This window comes from Homo sapiens, chromosome 1 (assembly GCF_000001405.40).
Source record: "Homo sapiens chromosome 1, GRCh38.p14 Primary Assembly".
NCBI classification, from domain to species: domain Eukaryota; kingdom Metazoa; phylum Chordata; class Mammalia; order Primates; family Hominidae; genus Homo; species Homo sapiens.
This window is the reverse complement of record NC_000001.11, coordinates 87,350,426-87,371,855: the sequence shown is the minus strand read 5'-3', so window position 1 is coordinate 87,371,855 and position 21,430 is coordinate 87,350,426. Positions and strand designations below refer to the sequence as shown.

Genomic DNA, 21,430 nt, shown 5'->3' with positions numbered 1-21,430 from the left:
CCCAAAACACAGACATAAACTGCTTTCTGGGCCCAAGACCCACGTTAATGAAAATTAACAGCCTTAAAATTTATCAATGGGTCCTGTTGCTTGCAGGATGGAATTCTAACTCCTCATCACATAAGACCTTTATGATCTTTCAGTGTCACCTCATCTCCCAGCACACCGCCACCCAGGCCCTTCACTCTTCTACTGAACCACTTTCTTCCATGTGCACACGCTGATTTCTCAACCTGGAATCATTTCCCTACACCTTTCCTCAAAGGACTGTTAATGAGTTTTCAGAGGTAAGCCCTATTCCTCTCCTCTGGAGAACCTTCCCTGAGTGCCCAGTCTGAGTTGAATGTCCCCCTTCCCACTACCCAATATCTCCCCCTGAACTCCAGGCATCTCTGTCACAGCATGTACCTCACACTGCCAAGTTCCCAAAGGGCAGGGTCTGCATCTTACATATTTAGGTATCTGAATACCTAGTGGGATTCCTAGTATAGCCTCTCAGTGCATACTTTTTTTTGTTTTGTTTTCTGAGATGGAGTAGCAGTCTGTTGCCCAGGCTGGAGTGCAGTGTTGCGATCTCAGCTCACTGCAACCTCTGCCCCCCGGGTTCAAGCGATTCTCCTGCCTCAGCCTCGCGAGTAGCTGGGACTACAGGTGTGTGCCACTTTTTAAGTACATGCATGAATTTCAAGAGGTTGGAAAGAAATTGTATCACCATATTCCATTACAATGAGAAATCAAAGAAACAATGATCAACAAGTATCTTCAAGTGCCATGCAATAAAACAGCATCAGTAGGGTGCAGTTCGAGTCATCAGGAGGGGATTGAGCAGAGAGGGTATGGACTGCTGCAAGGAACATTACATTGTCTGACAATACTAGGATGAAACAAGACAGGAGAACTCACTAGATATATTTGCACCATAAGTACCATGCGTGTGATTGTGGGTCACAGGGATGAGAGAGACAAGGAACTGAGAGGCCACCAACATCTGGCTGTCCCCCATATATTATCTCATGCCATGTGCACAATAGACTTTGGAGATGGAAATTTACATCCCCATTTTACTGAAAAGCCAGCCACAGGGTTCACAATGGAGTTTAGGTGGAAAGTCCCGATAAATCTGTGGCAATCCTATCCCAGGCATAGTGAGATCAGCTCGTTATGTCAGGCTTGGGCTTCCTCAAACAGGAAGTTTATTCAAAGTCTTACAAAGGCAAAGGGCCTCGCCTTTTGGTTCTTCTTATGTCCTATAACGCCTAGCATGTGTTACAGCCTTTTTAGTACTCAGTATGTATTTGTTGGTTGAATGAACTAATGAGTTAATGAATGAATAACTGTTTAAGTATAAGGCTCAGGCACTCTAAATTCTTAACATGGATTATATTATCTAACCCTCACAATATCTATGATTATCCCCCATTTCACAGATAATTAAATTGAGGTTAGGAAAGTTTAGAAAGTTTACTCAAAGTCACACAGCTTGCAAATGACAGAGCAAAAATTTCCCCAGGCCTTTCTCTCTCAGAGTCCGTACTCGTAACCACTCTGCTACACAGCCTCTCAGTTAAAGGATTCCTCTGAATTAATGGATTTCTCTGGAAAGCTCAGCTTTCTCAAAAGAAGATAGATGGTCCCTGATGATCCAATACTATGAGAAAAAAAAATCACAAAACACGGGGATTTGAGGGTTAGTTCAAAATGTGGCAAATCTAAAAATACACTGGCTTCACTTTTAGATATTTGTCCAAGAGGGGTAGAACAACTTTAATTAGTGTAACAGGACAATAGGAATTAAATTGGCTTGGTCACAAGATTTTTTACAGGATGACACTGATGTTATTACTATCCAACTTCAAAGATTTGGGAAGATGTTCCTGCTAACACTGGAGAATAGAAACCTGTTTTTCATCAACTAGGCTGGCCTGACAAATTAAGTCTGTGGAGTCATTAGATTAAGATAAGAGCTTATCTCCTAGGCTGACATTTATTCAGAGGCTTTTATACTGCTCAGCTAGTAATTAGTGCTGTTGAATTTTTGACTCTGCTTTGTCCAGTCATTCAAAAATTCTAGAGGTATATTTACATCTCTTATGTATGTTTTTGGTTATTAAAAATAGAAGAGGAATGCAAGTGAATTACTGTAGAAGGTTTAAATAATTCTTCCAAAAGTTATTCTGTGGTGAAACATGCAGCTTAATGACTTTTTTGCAGAAGAAGGGAGCAGTTCTCCCAATTGATAAATGTTGAATAAAAAGTTGCTTTTTACTATGAGATCTATAATTTTTTTCGAGGCAGACATATAGGTTTATTATGTTATAGTAGAATCATTACAACTATGATCACATGCAGTAATGGTTTCCTGCTATTTCACACCCCCAATTCAGCAAACATACTATAGATTGAGGGTATAGCTCAAAGTTTTGTTCTTTGGGTTTTTTTTTTTAATAGTTTCTTTCCGATGGATGATTTGACTGTGAAAAGTCTTATTTTTCCAGTTTTCTTGTAGTTATAATAACAACTTGATTGCTATAGAATAAACTAATACCTTAAGCCTGCACACGTGTCTTGACAGTCTGTCAAACAAATAATACTCACATTTTTTAAGATGCTTGGTTTGCAAATTCCAATTTCTATGCTGAAATACTAATCAGTCATCAGATGGGTAAGAACCCCTGTTTTAAGAAAGTTCATCACATGGTTAAAGTTGCATCCTGTTAACATTACTATCACATCATCTATTCTGTCCTAAGTGTGAACATCTCTCATCACTCAACATACTGCATTCGCCACTTTCAGAAAAATGTGGCCAAGAGAATTCAGGAGGGACAAGTAAAAGATTTGACTCTACTAGCTCACCTTAACATCACCCAACAGGAAGCCTCAGAAAACAAACAAACAAACAAACAAACAAACAACACACACTTAAGATATCCAGTCTGGAAGACAAGTTCTTTTTCATTAAAATGTGACCCTCGTGGTTTTGTAGTTAACAGGCTTAAGTTAAAGTCACTTGCTAATCAATCTCCATGCGTGATGGGTATAGAACCTCTTGTCATGTGCACACACTACCCAAGGGGAACTTGAAAGTATTTGAAATTATTCATGTTTGTTATGATACACAATCATCCTTTCTCTGTACCCCAAGTAAATTCAACTCTGCTCTTGGCATCCTCATTACGTAGTCTAGCAAAAAGTACAGGCCCTAGTTTACCACTTCAACAAGTCATTGAACTTGTTTTCTTAATGGAAAAATAAGAAGTTAGCTCAGTGTAATCTTTAAATATAACCCTCAGGGTCCTGCATCTCAGATCTGTGATCTGATCTTCAAGGCAGAAGTATAAGAAACGTAAATGGACAGAGAAAATCACAAGGGAAGAATATACCACTACGAGTTTAGATTCATCTGAGGAATTTGTAGAATTAATTCTGAAATAGTAGTACAGAAACTGAGATTATATTTAGTCATAGAAGAGAGATCAGAGTATATTTGTTGGATGAATGCATGAATGAATGGAGAGGCAGCATGGAATATTGAGATTTGGAATCAGACACACCTGGGTTCAATTCCCAATGCTCCCACATACTTGTTTTGTCACCTTGGAAAATACTTAAGCCTCTCTGACCCTACTTCTTCATTACTGCTAGCATAATAACTAGCCCATAGGGTTGTTGGCAGGATAAACAAAAACCTACATGAGCACATGGTAGGTGCTCAGAAAAACATTTGTTTTCATTTCTTTCTCCTCTACGTTGTTTTTGTTTTCTGTTTTTTTGTTTTTGTTTTTGTTTTTTTCATTCTCTGGTTCCACATAAATTAAGTTATAAAAATATCACCATCCAGCTTTCAAATTCATGTATTACCAATTACTACCAACACATTTGGTATGTGTTATTATTATGTTTTGATGTGTACTGAAAAAGGAAGAGAAGAGGAAAAGCATAGCACTTCCCTCCAACTCCCCACGGGTAATCAGGCCAGGGGAAGGTAGGTGTCATTCAATGTGTTTACAATGTACTCCATCTCAGTACTCAGCCTTTCTTAACTCATCCACCACCCCCAACTTTCTGAAGAGCAACATGTAATTAGAGCACTAACGAGGTCATTTAGCAGAAACCATGGGCAGGGAGTAATGAATGTGCTATCAGGCTCAGAGAACAGCTTGGGCAAAAATCCAAACAGTCCATGTTCAACTCTGATGAGCCAACCTAAACTTGGAAAATAGAGCTTGGAAAAAGGTTAATAATAGGACACCGAAAATGAAAGGCCCTTCTCCAGAGAGGCCCAAAGCAATGTTTTGAGCACAACTCTTGGAGAGCTGGGTGGTGCAGGCAGTGGTTGGGCATCATGAGAAGCTTGGTAGCACCTTCCACCTTCAAACTACCAGGGATCTGAAGAATGCAAAGCCTGGAAAGCGTTGAGAGGTCATCTCATTCAATTTCCCCATTTTACAGATGTGTTCAGAGTGCTCCAGAGACCTGAATCAGCTTAACTGGCCAATTAGAAACAAATCCAGACTTAGTACCAAGTCCTACAGATAACCAGGGCAGTGCTGGACTCACTAGCCTATGCTGTCTCCTTGCCTCTAAAGGTGACATTTAGGAGACCATTTAGACAGTGTACCAAGAGACTTTAAATGAGGCCAGCTTTACTTGCACCACTTCTGGAGTAATTAAGTCCCAGAAAAATAAACCTATCTATCCACCAGTTTGCATTTGGAATTAGCACTCTTAATTGAGTTACAACTGCTAAGATTATGAGGCCAACATCATCCTGATACCAAACCTGGCAGAGACACAACAAAAAAAGAAAATTTCAGGTCAATATCCCTGATGGACATCTATGCGAAGATCATCAATAAAATATTGGCAAACCGAATCCAGCAGCACATTAACAAGCTTATCCGCCACGATCAAGTCGGCTTCATCCCTGGGATGCAAGGCTGGTTCAACATACACAAATCAATAAATGTAATCCATCACATAAACAGAACCAATGACAAAAACCACATGATTATCTCAATAGATGCAGAAAAGGCCTTGGATAAAATTAAACACCCCATCATGCTAAAAACTCTCAATAAACTAGGTATTGATGGAACATATCTCAAAATAATAAGAGCCATTTATGACAAACCCATAGCCAATATCATACTGAATGGGCAAAAGCTGGAAGCATTCCCTTTGAAAACTGACACAAGACAAGGATGCCCTCTCTCACCACTCCCATTCAACATAGTATTGGAAGTTCTGGCCAGGGCAATCAGGCAAGAAAAAGAAATAAAGGGCATTCAAATAGGAAGAGAGGAAGTCAAATTGTCCCTGTTTGCAGATGACATGATTGTATATTTAGAAAACTCAGCCCAAAATCTCCTTAAGCTGGTAAGCAACTTCAGCAAAGTCTGAGGATACAAAATCAATGTGCAAAAATCACAAGCATACCTATACACCAATAATAGACAAACAGAGAGCCAAATAATGAGTGAATTCCCATTCACAATGGCTACAAAGAGAATAAAATACCCAGGAATACAATTTACAAATGATGTGAAGGACCTCTTCAAGGAGAGCTACAAACCACTGCTCAAGGAAATAAGAGAGGACACAAACAAATGGAAAAACATTCCATGCTCATGGATAGGAAGAACGAGTATCGTGAAAATGGCCATACTGCCCAAAGTAATTTATAGAATCAATGCTATCCCCATCATCTACCATTGACTTTCTTCACAGAATTAGAAAAAACTACTTTAAATTTCATATGGAACCAAAAAAGAGTCCATATAGCCAAGACAATCCTAAGCCAAAAGAACAAAGCTGGAGGCATCACGCTACCTGACTTCAAACTATACTACAAGGCTACAGTAACCAAAACAGCATGGTACTGGTACCAAAAGAGATATATAGACCAATGGAACAGAACAGAGGCCTCAGAAATAACGCCACACATCTACAACCATCTGATCTTTGACAAACCTGACAAAAACAAGCAACGGGGAAAGGATTCCTTATTTAATAAATGGTGTTGAGAAAACTGGTTAGCCATATGCAGAAAACTGAAACTGGACCCCTTCCTTAGGCCTTATAAGAAAATTAATTTAAGACGCATTAAAGACTTAAATGTAAGACCTAAAACCATAAAAACCCTAGAAGAAAACCTAGCCAATAAAATGCAGGACATAGGCATGGGAAAGGACTTCATGACTAAAACACCAAAAGCAATGGCAACAAAAGCCGAAATTGACAAATGGGATCTAATTAAACTAAAGAGCTTCTGCACAACAAAAGAAACTATCAGAGTGAACAGGCAACCTACAGAATGGGAGAAAATTTTTACAATCTATCCATCTGACAAAGGGCTAATATCCAGAATCCACAAGGAACTTAAAAAAATTTACAAGAAAAAAACAAACAACTCAACCCCGTCAAAAAGTGAGCAAATGATATTAGCAGACACTTCTCAAAAGAAGACATTTATGTGGCCAATAAACATATGAAAAGAAGCTCATCATCACTGGTCATTAGAGAAATGCAAATCAAAACCACAATGAGATACCGTCTCATGCCAGTTAGAATGGCAATCATTAACAAGTCAAAAAAACAACCGATGCTGGAGAGGATGTGGAGAAATAGGAACGCTTTTACACTGTTGGTGGGAGTGTAAATTAGTTCAACCATTGTGGAAGACAGTATGGAGATTCCTCAAGGATCTAGAACCAGAAATACCATTTGACCCAGCAATCCCATTACTGGGAATATACCCAAAGGATTATAAATCATTCTGCTATAAAGACACATGCACACATATTTTTATTGCGGCACTATTCACAATAGCAAAGACTTGGAACCAACCCAAATGTCCATCAGTGATAGACTGGATAAAGAAAATGTGGCACATACACACAATGGAGTACTATGCAGCCATTGCAAAGGATGAGTTCATGTCCTTTGCAGGGACATGGATGAAGCTGGAAACCATCATTCTCGGCAAACTAACACAGGAACAGAAAACCAAACGCGGAATGTTCTCACTCAGAAGTGGGAGTTGAACAATGAGAACACATGGACACAGGGAGGGGAACATCACATACTGGGGCCTGTCAGGGGGTGCGGGGCTAGGGGAGAGATAGCATTAGGAGAGATACCTAATGTAGATGACAGGTTGATGGGTGCAGCAAACCACCATGGCATGTGTATACCTATGTAACAAACCTGCACATTCTGCACAATATTCCTAAGTAGGAAAGAAATAACTTAGTCACTATTATTACTTAAAGTACTAACAAATTAAAATTCATTGGATGGATTTGTTCCAGGGTCGCTTTCATTTCAACAAGTAGTTATTAAGCACTTACCACATACACAACACTACAAGGCAGTTTGGGGTGAACACAAGGTATAGAGCATTCAATTTCTGTCTTGAGAAACCGACCCTCATTTGGGCAGACCTGACATACCTACAAAGATAGTGGAGAACAATGAAAGGAACAAATTAAAAATCCTAGGAGTCTCTTACCTCTTGCGAAATATATATTTTTCTTTCATTTAAAATGGCAAGTGAAGAGTATGGCTTTGGAACAAGGAGGCATTTATTTGCGCTTTTGATGTGTGGTTCCTCTCTAAGAGCCCTCTGCTTGGGATGGCTCTTCCACACAACTGGGTTCCCCAGAGAGCCACCCCTAGGAACCAGAGTTTTCCCAAGAGCCCTTTTCCTGTTATAGGGCATCCTATATTCCTCACACCCAGATCCTATGCATATGCCCCTTGGTTCTCCCATAACCTATATGAAGCCGGGAGAAAATCTGCCTCACAGGGTATGGTAAGCCTCAGTAAGATGGTACAATGCCAAAAATAATGCAAAAGTGATAATGGTGCCTCGAGGATGGGGGCCTGGGTGGGCAGTTCTTGTTCCCCTAACACAGTCTTCATTGTTTGTCTTAGAAAATAATGTCACAGTAAGAGAAAGCTCTTCAAAGCACTAGGTTACCAACAAATTCAGGTCTCGGTATAAAACAATGTAGAACAAGTATTAATATTTATGGCCAGAGTTGCTGCCCAGTTGTTTAAAACTAAGGCTTACCAAGACATTTTTCTCTCCTCCATCCCTCCTAATTATGGGAGTACCCAATCAGAATCTGATGATGCTCTCTGGTAGTGTGAGAGACAGGCTGCTGGATTGGAATCCAGACTTTGGAGATTTGAACCCAGATTCAAATTCTAGCTTAGGAATTTCAGAGCTGTGTAGTATTAAGCAAGTTGCTTAACCTCTCTGAATCGCAGACTCCTCACTGGAAAAATAGAGATGCTAATGGTATGTACCTCACAGGATGATTGTGAATATTAAATGACACAAGACACCTGACACATAGTAGGTGCTCGATGAATTTTTGTTATGTTTTCAGAGCAAAATTCCAGCACTGTCTCCTTCAAGGAGGGAAAAACAAAACAAGAAACATTTTCAGGATGCAACAGCTGGTGCTAGGAACGGATGTAACCACATCAGGGGAGAGTGCCACCCATCCTCAGAGTCAAATGTACTTTATGGATACAGCAATTTGCATCCTGTCAAATGTTCCCTAACATTTTGCAAAAATTCCCCAAATGTCAAATTAGTGAGTAATCTGTATAGTACTGCAGATCTTGTTATCCTCTGACTGATTCATAACATATTTTGGGTGTCCCAGACACCAATCCAAGTAAATGTTAGTAAATAAGGAAAATCACATCTCCCTCACAAGCTCTGAAATCAGTACCAGCTTACACTTGCAAAGAAAGAACATAAACCTGGAGGCCCAGAGGTATTTGGAGTTGATTAGAGTGTCACCAATCAATACTTGCCTAACACTGACCATGTGCCCAGTCCTGAGACTGTACTCTGAAGTTGGGGTCAGAGTACAGACTGGGGTTGCAAATCTCAATCACTGATTCTATGCTAGCCATTTGGCTTTATACCTTTTCTTATTTAGTCTTCTCAAATGTCCTTTTTATTTATTTAGCAAATACTGGAAAAGTACGTGCTATGTGAATAGTGCTTCCCTAGGGGCCCACTTCTTGGGAGAACCCCTTCATACAAGTGGGTTATAAATGCTTTACCATCCCCATAACAACCCAATGAGGCAGGCATCATGCTTATGTCCATTCTGCAGATGAGGAAACAGAAGGTCAGAGAGGTGAAGTGGTTGCATAAGGCCACGTGGTAAGTGGCCGAGGTAAGGTAGGAACTGAGACAGTCTGGCTCCCAGAGTCTATACTCTTAACCATTAAATACTCCCTTATGAGGTAGGTACCATAGTTATCCCCATTTTACAGATGAGGAAACTGAGGCTAAGAGGGGTTAAGTAACACTACCCAAGATGTCATACAGCTATTGGGTGGTAGCAGATTTGGGATTTTAAATGAGGTCTGTTCCTATAACCCTGCCCTAGAAGACAAGGTTATAGCTTATACAAAGGCAAAAAAAAAAAAAAAAAAAAAAAAAAATCTTGCCTTAAGTAGTTTCTAGTTTTGCCGGCCATGCAGTGAAAAAGATAGAGATCTTAAGAATACCATAAGCAATGAACGTCAAAGAGCTCCACTCTTGTACGTTCATTACTAGTCTCTGAACTCCAGAATCAGAGAGACTTTTCTCAAAACAAGACTGAGGGCTGGCCTGAGAAATGCTTCTCTGTTTTGCTTTTGTTTTTTGTTTCCCTGACTTGAAGAAAATTGAGATGAACTCAAGTTGCTGAAGCTGCAAGATATATATTTATATGCTTTCTTTATTATGTGTGCCTAAACCTTGTTTTTTTCACTCTGTTAACTTTTCAAAAACTATTAAGAAGAAGAGTGACAAAATGCTGTGGGGGCACAGGAGAGGGAGGACAGGAAGGAGGTGGCGGGTAGATTATCTGCAAAACAGAGTGCTTTTCCGAGATTCTCTTTTTCCCTTTTCTTTTTCACGTTACTTTTTATTTTATTTTAAATTCCAGAGTACATGTGCAGGATGTGCAGGTTTGTTACACAGGTAAACATGTGCCATGGTGGCTTGCTGCACCTATCAACCCATCATCTGGGTATTAAGCTTAGCATGCATTATCTATTATCTCCCCCAGCCCCACCCACCCCAACAGGCCCCAGGATGTGTTGTTCCCCTCCCTATGTCCATGTGTTCTCATTGTTCAGCTCCCACTTACATGTGAGAACATGCGGTGTTTGGTTTTCTGTTCCTGCATTAGTTTGCTGAGGATAATGGCTTCCAGCTTCATCCATATTCCTGCAAAGGACATGATCTCATTCCTTTTTATGGCTGCATAGAATTCCACAGTATACATGTACCACATTTTCTTTATCCAGTCTACCATTGACGGGCATTTGGGTTGGTTCCATGTCTTTGCAATTGTGAATAGTGCTGCAATGAACATATGTGTGAAGGTATTTTTATAACAGAATGATTTATATTCCTGTGGGCATATACCCAGTAATGGGATTGCTGGGTCAAATGGTATTTCTTTTCTAAGAGATTTTCTATCCAGCTCCTGGCTCCTCTTTGTCTCTTCAGGGCTTGACAGAGAGCAGGTGCTCAGTGATGTTGGACTGGAAGTTTTGAAGACAACAAAAGCAAAAGTCTTGCTTTTACACATTGCTGTTAGATTAGGGCTATTAATGATGATTATTGGAAAAGAACTGGATTTAGTAGCTGGAAAACATTAGCAGCTACATAGACTTAACTAAATTCTTACACTGCAAACACAAATACTGGAAAATCGTCTTGCTCTATCTCCTTCAGGAAAGGGCCACTACTTTCTTTTCTCATCTCTTTCCTCAGTGTCCAGTAACACTGGCGACAGCCTGGGAGTATTTACCTGAGACAGAGGGACCAAAAGAGATTGCTTCACTTGAGGCCCCAGAAGCCCCCTCCACCTCTGGTGTTCAAAGCATGAGAGTCAGAGAAGTCTGCACCTCCCAAACCCCACTCTCCTTTGCTTCCCCACATACAGTTACTCTCCAAGTCCTATTGCTCATAACGTCATCCACTCTCAGACCCAACTAAATTTCCTCATTCGCACTGCTCCCACCCTGCCCCAAGCCACCACCATCTCCTCCCTGATTCCTGTCACAATCCTAGCTTGTCTTTCTGCTCCTAGCTTGCCCGCTTTAATCATCATCCACATAACAGCTAAAGCAGAAATCTGATTGTGTCATCAGAAACCTATTGCCTTTAGGATTAAGTCCAATCTCCTCAGCTTGGTTGACAAGGCTGTTTTTCTGATCTGACCCTTGTCTTCTCTCCAGTCTCATTTCTCCCACCCTTGCCCCTGTGTTTCATTCAGAGTCAGTGTTTGCAGGTCCTTACACATTAGCCACGCTTCCTCATCATCCTCCTAATTCCTGAGCATTCTTCTTGCTTAGCTGTTGCCTCCTCGTCCAGGCCCACACTCCTCTCTCTGCAGCTCAGCAACCTGATCTAGTGCCATTAGCCAGCACGGCCAAGATATGCTGAAACCCCCTCTGGGAAACCATCAAACTGATGGCTGGCATGGACTGCAGAGTGATATTTTAAAAGCACAAATCAGGCTGGGCACAGTGGCTCATGCCTGTAATCCCAGCACTTTGGGAGGCCGAGGCGGGCGGATCACGAGGTCAGGAGATCGAGACCATCCTGGCTAACAGAGTGAAAACCCGTCTCCACTAAAAAAAAAAAAAGAAATTACAAAAAATTAGCCGGGCGTGGTGGCAGGCACCTGTAGTCCCAGCTACTCGGGAGGCTGAGGCAGAAGAATGGTGTGAACCCGGAAGGCAGAGGTTCCAGTGAGCCGAGATCACATCACTGCACTCCAGCCTGGGTGACAGAGTGAGACTCCGTCAAAAAAAAAAACAAAAACAAAACAAAACAAAACAAAAAAACCCACAAATCAGATCATATCATTTTGCTTCTACAAACTCTCCAATTCACACTTAGAGTAAAATTCAAAGGGCTTTTCCCCTAGAAAACCTTACTAAATCTGGCCCCTGCCCATCCCTCCAACTTCCTCCTATATAATGCTCTGCCTTGTTCATTTTGCTCCAGTCACAATGGCCTTCTATCTCTTCCCCAAAACTCAACCACACTGTTCCAGCCTAAGGGCCTTTGCCCAAGTTGTGCCCTCTGCCTGGAGCTCTGTTGTGTCAGCTCTTCATATTGTCCAAGTTTCAGCTCAAAGTAACTTCGTCAGAGAATTCTTCCCTGATCATTAACCAAAGTAACACCCTCAAAGAAATTCCAGTGCCTTCACAGAATGTATTGCTATCTAAAATTATTTGGTTCTTTTCTTTACTGAGATGTTTATTGTACCTCCTCAACTCACATGTAAGCTCCATAAGAAAAGAACGATTTCTATCTTACTCACAGCTGCTCTCCTGTGCTCAGAACAGTTCTTGATGCTAGCAAGTGCCTAGCAAATATTTATTGAAGGAATGCATAAGTAAAAAGAGATAAAGAGGAAAGTTAGAGGATTAAAAGAACAGGTGAAGGACTTTGCAAATATATTCCCATTATTGCTTCGTAGCATGAGTTTCTTGCAGAAATTATGAGATCCTTTTGGCAATACCACTAAGAGAAAAGGCCACTGTGACTCCCATGCCAAGATATCTCAAACACAGACGTGGTGATTCTTAATAGATAGAAGCAGAGAGGTGAGAACCGCAAAATCTTTAAAACTGGAAGAAGCCTCCAATATCTTTATAACCCAATCCATTCATGTGGTGATAGAGTGAAAGCCTGGAAGAGATCAAGTGACTTACCAAAGACTTTGCCACTAGCCAGGGGCAGGCCAGGAGACAACTGAGGTATCCAGTCTAGTTGATGGTTCCATATTTTGCTGCCCTTTCTCATATTCATTTAGCAGCCATACATGAAAGGGCTGGAACAACGATATCTGTTTGGCTCCTGGGTCTGCTGGAAACTCTTCCCTAAGCAGTTATTACTTTTTCTTTCCACGTCTGGTTACTACTGCTGCATAACAAATCACCCCCAAGATTTAGTGGTTTCAAACATCAACAACAGGTGCAGTGATGGATTCATGCCTGTAATCCCAACATTTGGGGAAACAGAGGCAGGAGGAACACTTGAGGCCAGGAGTTTGAGACCAGCCTGGGCAAATATAGCAAGACCCCATCTCTGCAAAAATAAAAATAATTAAAAAAAAAAAAATTTAAATTTAAACATTAAAAAATCAACAACATTTTATTATCTCTTATTGTTTCTGTGGGCCAGGAATCTGGGAATGTTTTGGCTAGGCTTGGGATCTTTCATGCAGGTACAGACAGAGAGTGGCTGGAGCTGGCCAGGCATCTCTCTCTCTCTTTTCATGTAGTCTCAAGACCTCTCCTTGAGGTTTAGTTTGGGCTTCCTCACAACATGGAGGCCTCAGGGCAGTTGGATTGCTTACATCAAGACTCAAGAGTTCAAGAGGCAGTATTTCAAAGTCAAAAGTTGCATCATCTTTTATAGTCTAGCTTCAGAGGTCAAACAGTATCACTTCTGCCACATCCTATTGGTTACAAGTGAGTCATTAGCCCACCCAGATTCACGAGGAGGGTAATTAGACTCCATCTCTTGATGGGGAGTAGCAGGGTTCTGGAAAGGATGTGGGCTAGGAAATACTGCTGCAGCCATCTTTGGAAATACAATCTGCCACATCACAGAATGCAGAGGTTATTTTAGACAATCAGAAATGCCGTCTACAGTACCTAAAATGCCATCTACAGTACCTAAAATCAAATTCATCGTCTGATGCAGATCATCTAAAATGAAAGAGTGGCACCCAGGAAACTCCAAAGCACAGCAGCATAAGGCAGCAATGAGCTCCGGTTCTGTGCTCCCATAAAAATGACCCAAATATTTGTCCCTGTTTATTGCAAGTTTGAGAGCCTCTGTCCCTGCATGAGCCTACATGTATGTCCATTAAGAGTGCAGCTATGGGTATAGATGATTATATAGAAATATGCAAAATGTGACTCCCAGGTCAGGCCTTTATGGGCCCAGATTCAATGTGGGATGCAGTTTTACAGCCCAGTTGTAAACCCCTGGAAACAGAGGTTTATAACAGAAGCACTGACACAACTTTTATCTATGGCGGCAAGAACAGTGCTACGGTAATAGGCCTGTTCCTCTGTGGCTAATGTCGGCTTGAAGTATCTTTAAATCTCAACGTTCCTTCCAGCAGGTACTTCACTGAAATGTAACTACCACAATGCATCCTTTCCATGTGACTAACTTCGCTCATGGACCAGAATCACTGTGGCTCTGCCCTGGAGTGGTGCAAAGTAAGCTGCCTTCAATTACAGGATGGAGGGGGAGTGAGGGGTGGACGTGGGCATCTTACCCTTGGTCAGGATCAAACAGTCTTTCCAGTTTCACAGAATGTCATCAGATAATTTTAGTGTTAGAAGGGACCTTGGAGAGCCCATAGTCTCCCTCTTTTTAAGATATAGAGAAACAGGCCCAGAGAGGTGACATGATTTGCCCTGAGTCACACAGCTGGTTAGAGGAAGATCAAGTTGACTCCTGAGTCTTGGTGTTACACTTTCCCCATTATACCAAATCTTTGATATGATACTTTCTCTCTACACACATAAGAGAGTGTATACACACACACACACACACACACACACACACTCACACCACGACCTCAGTGGAGAGAACTAAAACTGATTAATCTGCAGTCCGGTAGCAGTATGCTTTACAGGTAATATTATTTGCAACCTACTTTTTAACTATCTGTGAGACCAACTTGTTTAAACAGGAGAGGAAGCCCATGGCACAAAGGGATCTTCATGTTCCTTTGGTATATTAGGAGAGGCACCCAGTTAAAGAGTGTTCATTACTATTGTAAATTCTTGCCCCAGGGCTTGTATCCTTGCGCTAGATTACATGAGGTCTGTGTTCATGGACAGCGTTTGGCGTCTGATTGAAGGTCCAGCGCAGCTAATTAATTTCATTAGGAAGTGAAGTCATCTTCTAGCAGGAATTAATATTTGGAGCTTCGTGTTGCTAATTCATTTCCAGATTTAATTAGCTCAGAGAAGAAATGTTGCTTGGGCAAGAGGACTTTTTAATTATCAGCTTGGATAAATTTGAAAATGTTGATGCCTAGGGGTTGAGTTAATTAAAACCTGCATTATTTTAACTTTAATTAGCTCCCATCTTTGTTTTGCTTCACCATATGGCCATGTCCTGTAGTCAAATTTAGTTAATTAAGCTAATTAAGCTAATCATTTTAATTACTCAAGACAATATGATTGGATAGAGGATGACTACAAGTTTATGGCCAAGTACTTCTTTTTCATTAAGTTGAAGGGACAGAGTTATTTCTGATTGCGGCTGGCAAGCAGTGCTGCGGAGTTCAGGGATGTGACAGCCTCAGAGATATTAAGGCTGAAGTCTAATTGCATTACTTGATAAAAACAAAATGTCACTAACACAACTCTTTAAAAGAGGAGAATAATTTAGTGCTACATCTATTAGCATTCTGGACAGGCTGACTTGGTCAGGGTGCGCTGGCTTGCTCTTTTTACCTAATAAGATAATGAAGCAAACTTACTGAGCTGTGGAATTTACTAATGGAGATCTAGGTATTAGATGGTGAAATCTCCATCTTATTATAGTGGTGCCCAGTAGTGCTGCTATACTTATGGGCCTGCCATCGTTTGTGGCACAAACCTGTATTTTTAGGGGTTCATAACTCTGCTGTAAAACATTAGCTCCAGGCTGAGAGTTGGCCTAAGAGGGCCCATGTTAGGAATGCTTATTTATAGAATGTGGAACTTTGCGGGGAGGAAGGCAAGAGTCAGGCTGTTTTTATGGCACTGCTTGGAAGATGGAGTTCGCTGCATTTGTCCTGAGCCTTTATCTCTGTTGCAGCTCCATAAAGGATTTGAAAATTCAGCCCAACAAAGGAAATCTTCTTAATCTGGCTTTTCTCTGCTTCCCCACCACCATCTCAGGGCCCCCCAATCCAAGTACCTGATGACAGTGACGGCCTTTTCCAGATAGTCACACGCCAGATAGCGACTTTTAAAAATAAGGTTCCATGAGCACAGAACAAAAAGGCTTTTCCCAAAGCCTTCATGAGACTACTTGGTTCTCCACGTACATGGGAAGTGATTCTCTGTATGGTTCAGAAGGAAAGATTTAAAATAACCTCTAGAGTAGTCTTTTGAGAAAATAATACGAATTGTAAAAGTAGTTCAAATATATGTTTTGGGAGGCTCTGCTGCCTCCAGTATGTGGTTTCTAGAAAGCCGGTTTTTGACCTCTAACATACGGGCACATTTTCTATGATGAGCATATAGCTCCCAGGATGGAGAGATGCTAACATTCTTAGGAATAAAGGATGATCCACCCAGGGATCACTGGGGTAAAAATCATTTTAAGGCCATGGCTGTAATCAACAGAAGTCAAAGATGTCTAAGAGCAGACTGTAATTCCACACCTTCACATAAGGCAGGAGTACTGCAGCACTGCCTAGAAAGAGATAACAGCAGCTCAGAATTAAGTCAACCTAGAATCCTGCAGGTAATATGTATTTTTATTCATTTGTTCATTCACTTGTTCAGACATTCGACAAAGATTCACTGATGCCAGGCACTCTTCTGGAGAACAGGGATATGGAAATAAATGAGACATATTCTTGCCTTCCAGGAGCTCGCATTCTGTTTGGAAAGCAAATTATTTAAATCCAGTAGAGGACTCTCAAATGTGGTTGGAAAATCTAAGAAGACTTCCCAGAGGCAGCAGCACTAGTGTTAGGGAAAGAGCTCACAAATTCCATTGCTGTAGAATCCATGTGTTGAAGACCGCTACACTGGAATCTAGTTTTCTATCCTAAAATCTACCTCCTGAGTTTGAGTAAGACTTGAACTAGTTTGCAAATATCTGTGATCTTCACCTTGCCTGCCTGCAAAGCCCATAAGCAAGTTCAGAAGAGACTTCTACTTGTCCAAAGCAACATGGAGTAAAGTGGGTCAACTAGAATTAAAATATGCTCCAGCCAAAGGTTTGTCTCATAGAAAATGGAAAAAAATAAATGCTACAGATATAGTGAAGTTCCTTTGATAAATGAGAGTGACTCACAATTGGGGCCATTTTTAGAAAATGTAAAGAAAAATTATGCTAACCAACCCAGAGCTCCACTCGCATTATTTTAAAAGTAGCTAATGAGATTTGATAAATCTCTAGATGGTGATAGGAAAAAAAAAGTGCTCTAAAGATCTCTAAGATTGAAGACACAAATGGCCCAAGTTTTAGACACTTCCTCCCAGTTTATTCTATAACCAAACAGAAGTTCGACAGGGTTGAGCTACACACTGCACAGGTGACACAGTTCTGGTTCGCACATGGGCTTCCAAGTGGGGCAAATCTGTGTGGCCTCAGCACATTATGCAAACATGCAGAACCTCCATTTCCTTACCTGTTAAGTGGCAGTGATGACACCTTACTTGAGGGGCTATCACAAAAGTTAAATGAGGTACAGTACCTGACACATAACAGCATAGTTCATACTCACCTAGATTTAAGCATGAGCTCTACCATGTACTGAACATATGGGGCAAATTACCCAACTTTTCTAAATCTCAGTTTCCATATGTGTAAAATGGATCCATAAAACTTTATAGGTATTATGAGAATTAAACGAGTAATTGCATACAAAGTGCTGAGCTCAATAGTTGTTAGCTCTCATTGAATTACTAGATAAACAACAAATGATAATTCCTTCTTCTTTCCCAAATAGCTATGAAATGGGAAATAAGTGTCATTATCCTTTTGAAGGAAAGTGTCATCAAAAAGCCGTTACAACTATTAATATTTTCACATGTAAACAATGATAGCTGGCTCAATGTCTCCTTCCCAAGGCAATCAGATATTTTTAATATTCACTAGTTTGCTATGGTTTTAAATGTATAGCATCAACTCTATGCTCTGATGGGGATTGATATGGCAAAGCTTTAATCCTAATATGCTTTTCTTTATAGGTGACCATGGAAACCTATTGATAAGGCTCTGGGGTCAGATTCATCTCTGTTCAGACAACTCTAGCGGTGTGACTCTGAGCAAGTGTTTTTTAACCTAAGTTCCTGCTTCCTCAACTGCAAATGTAGGAATGGTAACATCTTCCTCAAAGTTGTATGCTGGGGATAACACATGAAGGAGATGCCTGGGCCATATAATTATTTAAGAAATGTTCATTTCTTTCTTGAACTACCTTCTACCAACTATTTGGTCTGAGTTTATGAAACTGTAAATTTTGTCTAACATTTGCCTAACAAAGCATTATTACCTTGCTTAAAGAAACACACAATACATTCTAAACCAAAAATAATTTGAATGTAATCCATTATTTTGGATTAATCTATATCATCACTCCCCTCCCTTAGAGAAGACAGGCCAAGAGTTGGTTGCAATAATTTTTGAAGTAAATTGAAGACCTTATAATTAACACTTAAGTCGGAGAAGTTATTATATTTTCCAGTGTTTCAGTATTTACAGTCCAAAATAGTGTTCATCCTCAGAATATAAAGCCCTTTTACCTTTAATGATATATCAAATGCATTGGCAAATACAGCTGTTGTTAGTAAATTCCTATTTAACAGATGGGCAAGATGAGGTAGTGAGATTAAATGACTAGCCCATGGCTAATATGTGATTAGAAAGACAAATTTAATCATAGTTGCCATTTGACTTCCTTTCAAAACTAGAATTAAATTTCAAGTGTCTCCTGACTCCCAGTTTGGTGCTTATTTCACTACAGTGCAATATGTGCTTTATTACATGCTTTAAAATAAGAGGAGAGAGTGGGGAGGCATAAGCACCTTCCTCCTAAAAGGCACAAAGCACAAAATACGAGGGAAATAGTCCATCATTAATTTTCATAACATTCCCCGTAAGACAACAATGAGTACCGACTCTCCCTTAGTCAGGAGGATGGTGTAGAAACCTAAGTTTAAAAAAAGATGCACAAGATGCCCACAGATACTCAAGAAATCAAAAAGACAGCCCAGAATTACCTAGTGTTAGAATGAAATTGATCACACACCTTCTGGAAAGCACACAGTTCTACAAGTCTCTATGTACGCAGGGAAATCCAAGTACCTTTTTAGCAGGGAAGGATTGTTTCATAGAACATCTAGCAGCAACCCTGGGTAAGTGGATACTGTTTTGAGAATGTTTTAAACTTAGTCACCCAATTCTCATCAGGCCCAATCAACCAACTGCCTAACCTCATTTTGTTTTGAAAAATAATGTCACAAATGTGTCCAGAGTGGGATAAAATGCACAGTAGCGAGTTCATTAACATGCCATCTGCATGCAAAACAAGGGGATTCCAGAGGCAGAATGCTTTGGTAGGCCTGCTAGAAATCAAATTCCAGGCTAAAAAAATATAGAACACAACTTAGGGAGAAAAATATTACAGCTACACCTTTACTTGACCCACAGCAAAGACTGTCTGGTTTTCAAGAGCTCCAAAGCCAGCCTGAATTCTCTTTCCCTCTTTCTTAAAACTTTAAAACATGTTTTACTACTTAAAGAGGGTAAAAAAACAATTGCTTACAGCATGAGGTGGTTGATGGAGTTTTGTGAATTATATCCATCCCCACGAAGAAAGAAAGGCCTAGCTAGACCTCAGTGTCAGAAATCCATTTAGGATGGCCCGTCTTTTCAAAATCAAGCCTGTTTATCTTCCTGATTCACTCAGTAACAAATCAGAAAACTCAAACCTGCCCCCTTCATTTCTTCTGACTCCTACTGCCTCCCTCTACTCTCAGAGAAAGAAAGGATTCGATTTCCAGAGGCTGTAGCTTTAACGAACCAGAGGCCTTTTTTTCCACAGTGGTACCTCAAACTTCATCAAGAGCATTGGAGTCTGCGTTTTTTCTGTTGCAATTTTCATTCCGCCTTAGCTCTCCCTGACACACCTGTGAAGTGTCACCAAATGCTGTATCACATCAACTTTTAAAAACTGCCAACTCTGCTAATGTCTGAGACCTCCTGATGTCACAGCCTTACATGAGCTTGAAGTACACAAAATCATAGCTTGAGTTTTACCACGCACAGCAAAAGCACCTGTGTGGGTGGGTAGGGCAGAGGGTCTTGTTGAAAGTCGTGAAATCAGACAGACAAAACCACTGAAATGAGATGTACGGCGGGGGTGTTTGTGGAGCTTGTAACATCCTTCTTCCTGAACTGCAGTGAGAGACCCCAGCCCCTTAAACTCCCTCACAGAGCTATTTATCTAGGCAATTGTTCCTTCCATTCTCCCTACCCTCCTTTTTATCACGATAGAAATTTCCTCATAGCCTAGAATTCTAAGAGAAAATATTTCATCTATTATCAATTTCATAAACATCTACTCCCACCCACTGCCAAAAAAACAAAAAACAAAAAACAAAACCACTGGTAAATATTATTCAGGGTATGGTTTGTACTGGCTATTCAGCTCTGGGTACAGATGGCATTTATTGAAAAACTGGAATGTATCATGGTTTTTGGTCATACTATATAGTATAACCAAGTAATTGAGTATATGGGTCCTGCAGCCTCCATACCTGGTGCAAATCTTGCCTACCCCCCGTGTTGTTACCAGACTTAACTTACTAATTTTATGACCTTAGGCCATAATGTACACATATCTACAAAGCACCTTGCCCTTTTCTATTGATATTCTGTATTTTGAATCTATAGGTGTGTTGATCTATACATATTTTTCCAGGTCCTTATAACCTAAGGTGATATTTGTGAGATACCCCATGATTTAACATATAGAAATTATGGGCTTTAAGAACTGGTACTTTGGCACCCAAATCCACTGCAGTCAAGAATCTACGCAAAAATACACACAAAAAAAGAAGTCTTTTTTGCTTTGTTTCACCATTTTCTATCAACATCAAAGAATGTTTCATTAAATTGGAGTAGATATTTTTCTTTAACCATTTTTCCCTTTGTAATAAAAGCAGCTTGGATTTAATGGTATGTTCAAGTAATTTATTTACAATTTTATGTATCTTTTTAGACCCTAGCAATTAATGGGAAAAAAGAAAGTATAGCCAACAAAAATTTTAAAATAATCTGATAATTGTTGGTGTATAAGTAAAGGTATAATTTGTTCTCTTTGAATGTCTCAGAGCTTTCCCATCTTAAAACAACAAATATAAACATCAGTTCTTTTGAGGGATGTCTGCTTTTCACATCATACTAGAATATGTAAAAAGTTTTCCTAAAAATGTTCATGTGTGTGTATTATGACTTTTAGATAATCTAATTTATTGTAAGGTCTTTTATGTGGCTCAAGCCACAGCTCATTCAAAGATTCTAAACACATCCTTTACTACTTTGTGTGGAGTATGTTGATCCATTTTGCTTTCTGAACTAACATGATTACGAAAGTCTTGTTCTTGTTCCTCAGCAACAACGATCTGT

The 21,430-nt window shown here is 40.2% G+C and overlaps 1 long non-coding RNA gene across 1 annotated transcript, besides 2 other annotated features; it reads left to right on the top strand.

Moving 5' to 3' along the window:
- Nucleotides 1-200: 200 nt before the first annotated feature.
- LINC01364 (long intergenic non-protein coding RNA 1364) lies at nt 201-18,332 on the top strand. The gene is made up of 4 exons (NR_038324.1): nt 201-287; nt 14,178-14,280; nt 16,658-17,012; nt 17,989-18,332. It is a non-coding gene; the product is annotated as a long intergenic non-protein coding RNA 1364 (long non-coding RNA).
- Nucleotides 14,457-15,918: an enhancer, noted in NCBI's record as "VISTA enhancer hs174". NCBI's record gives its function as "enhancer in: forebrain[9/12] | limb[3/12]" and the evidence as "EXISTENCE:transgenic organism evidence [ECO:0001131][PMID:17130149]".
- Nucleotides 14,629-15,746: an enhancer, noted in NCBI's record as "VISTA enhancer hs322". NCBI's record gives its function as "enhancer in: forebrain[4/5]" and the evidence as "EXISTENCE:transgenic organism evidence [ECO:0001131][PMID:17130149]".
- Nucleotides 18,333-21,430: the final 3,098 nt, after the last annotated feature.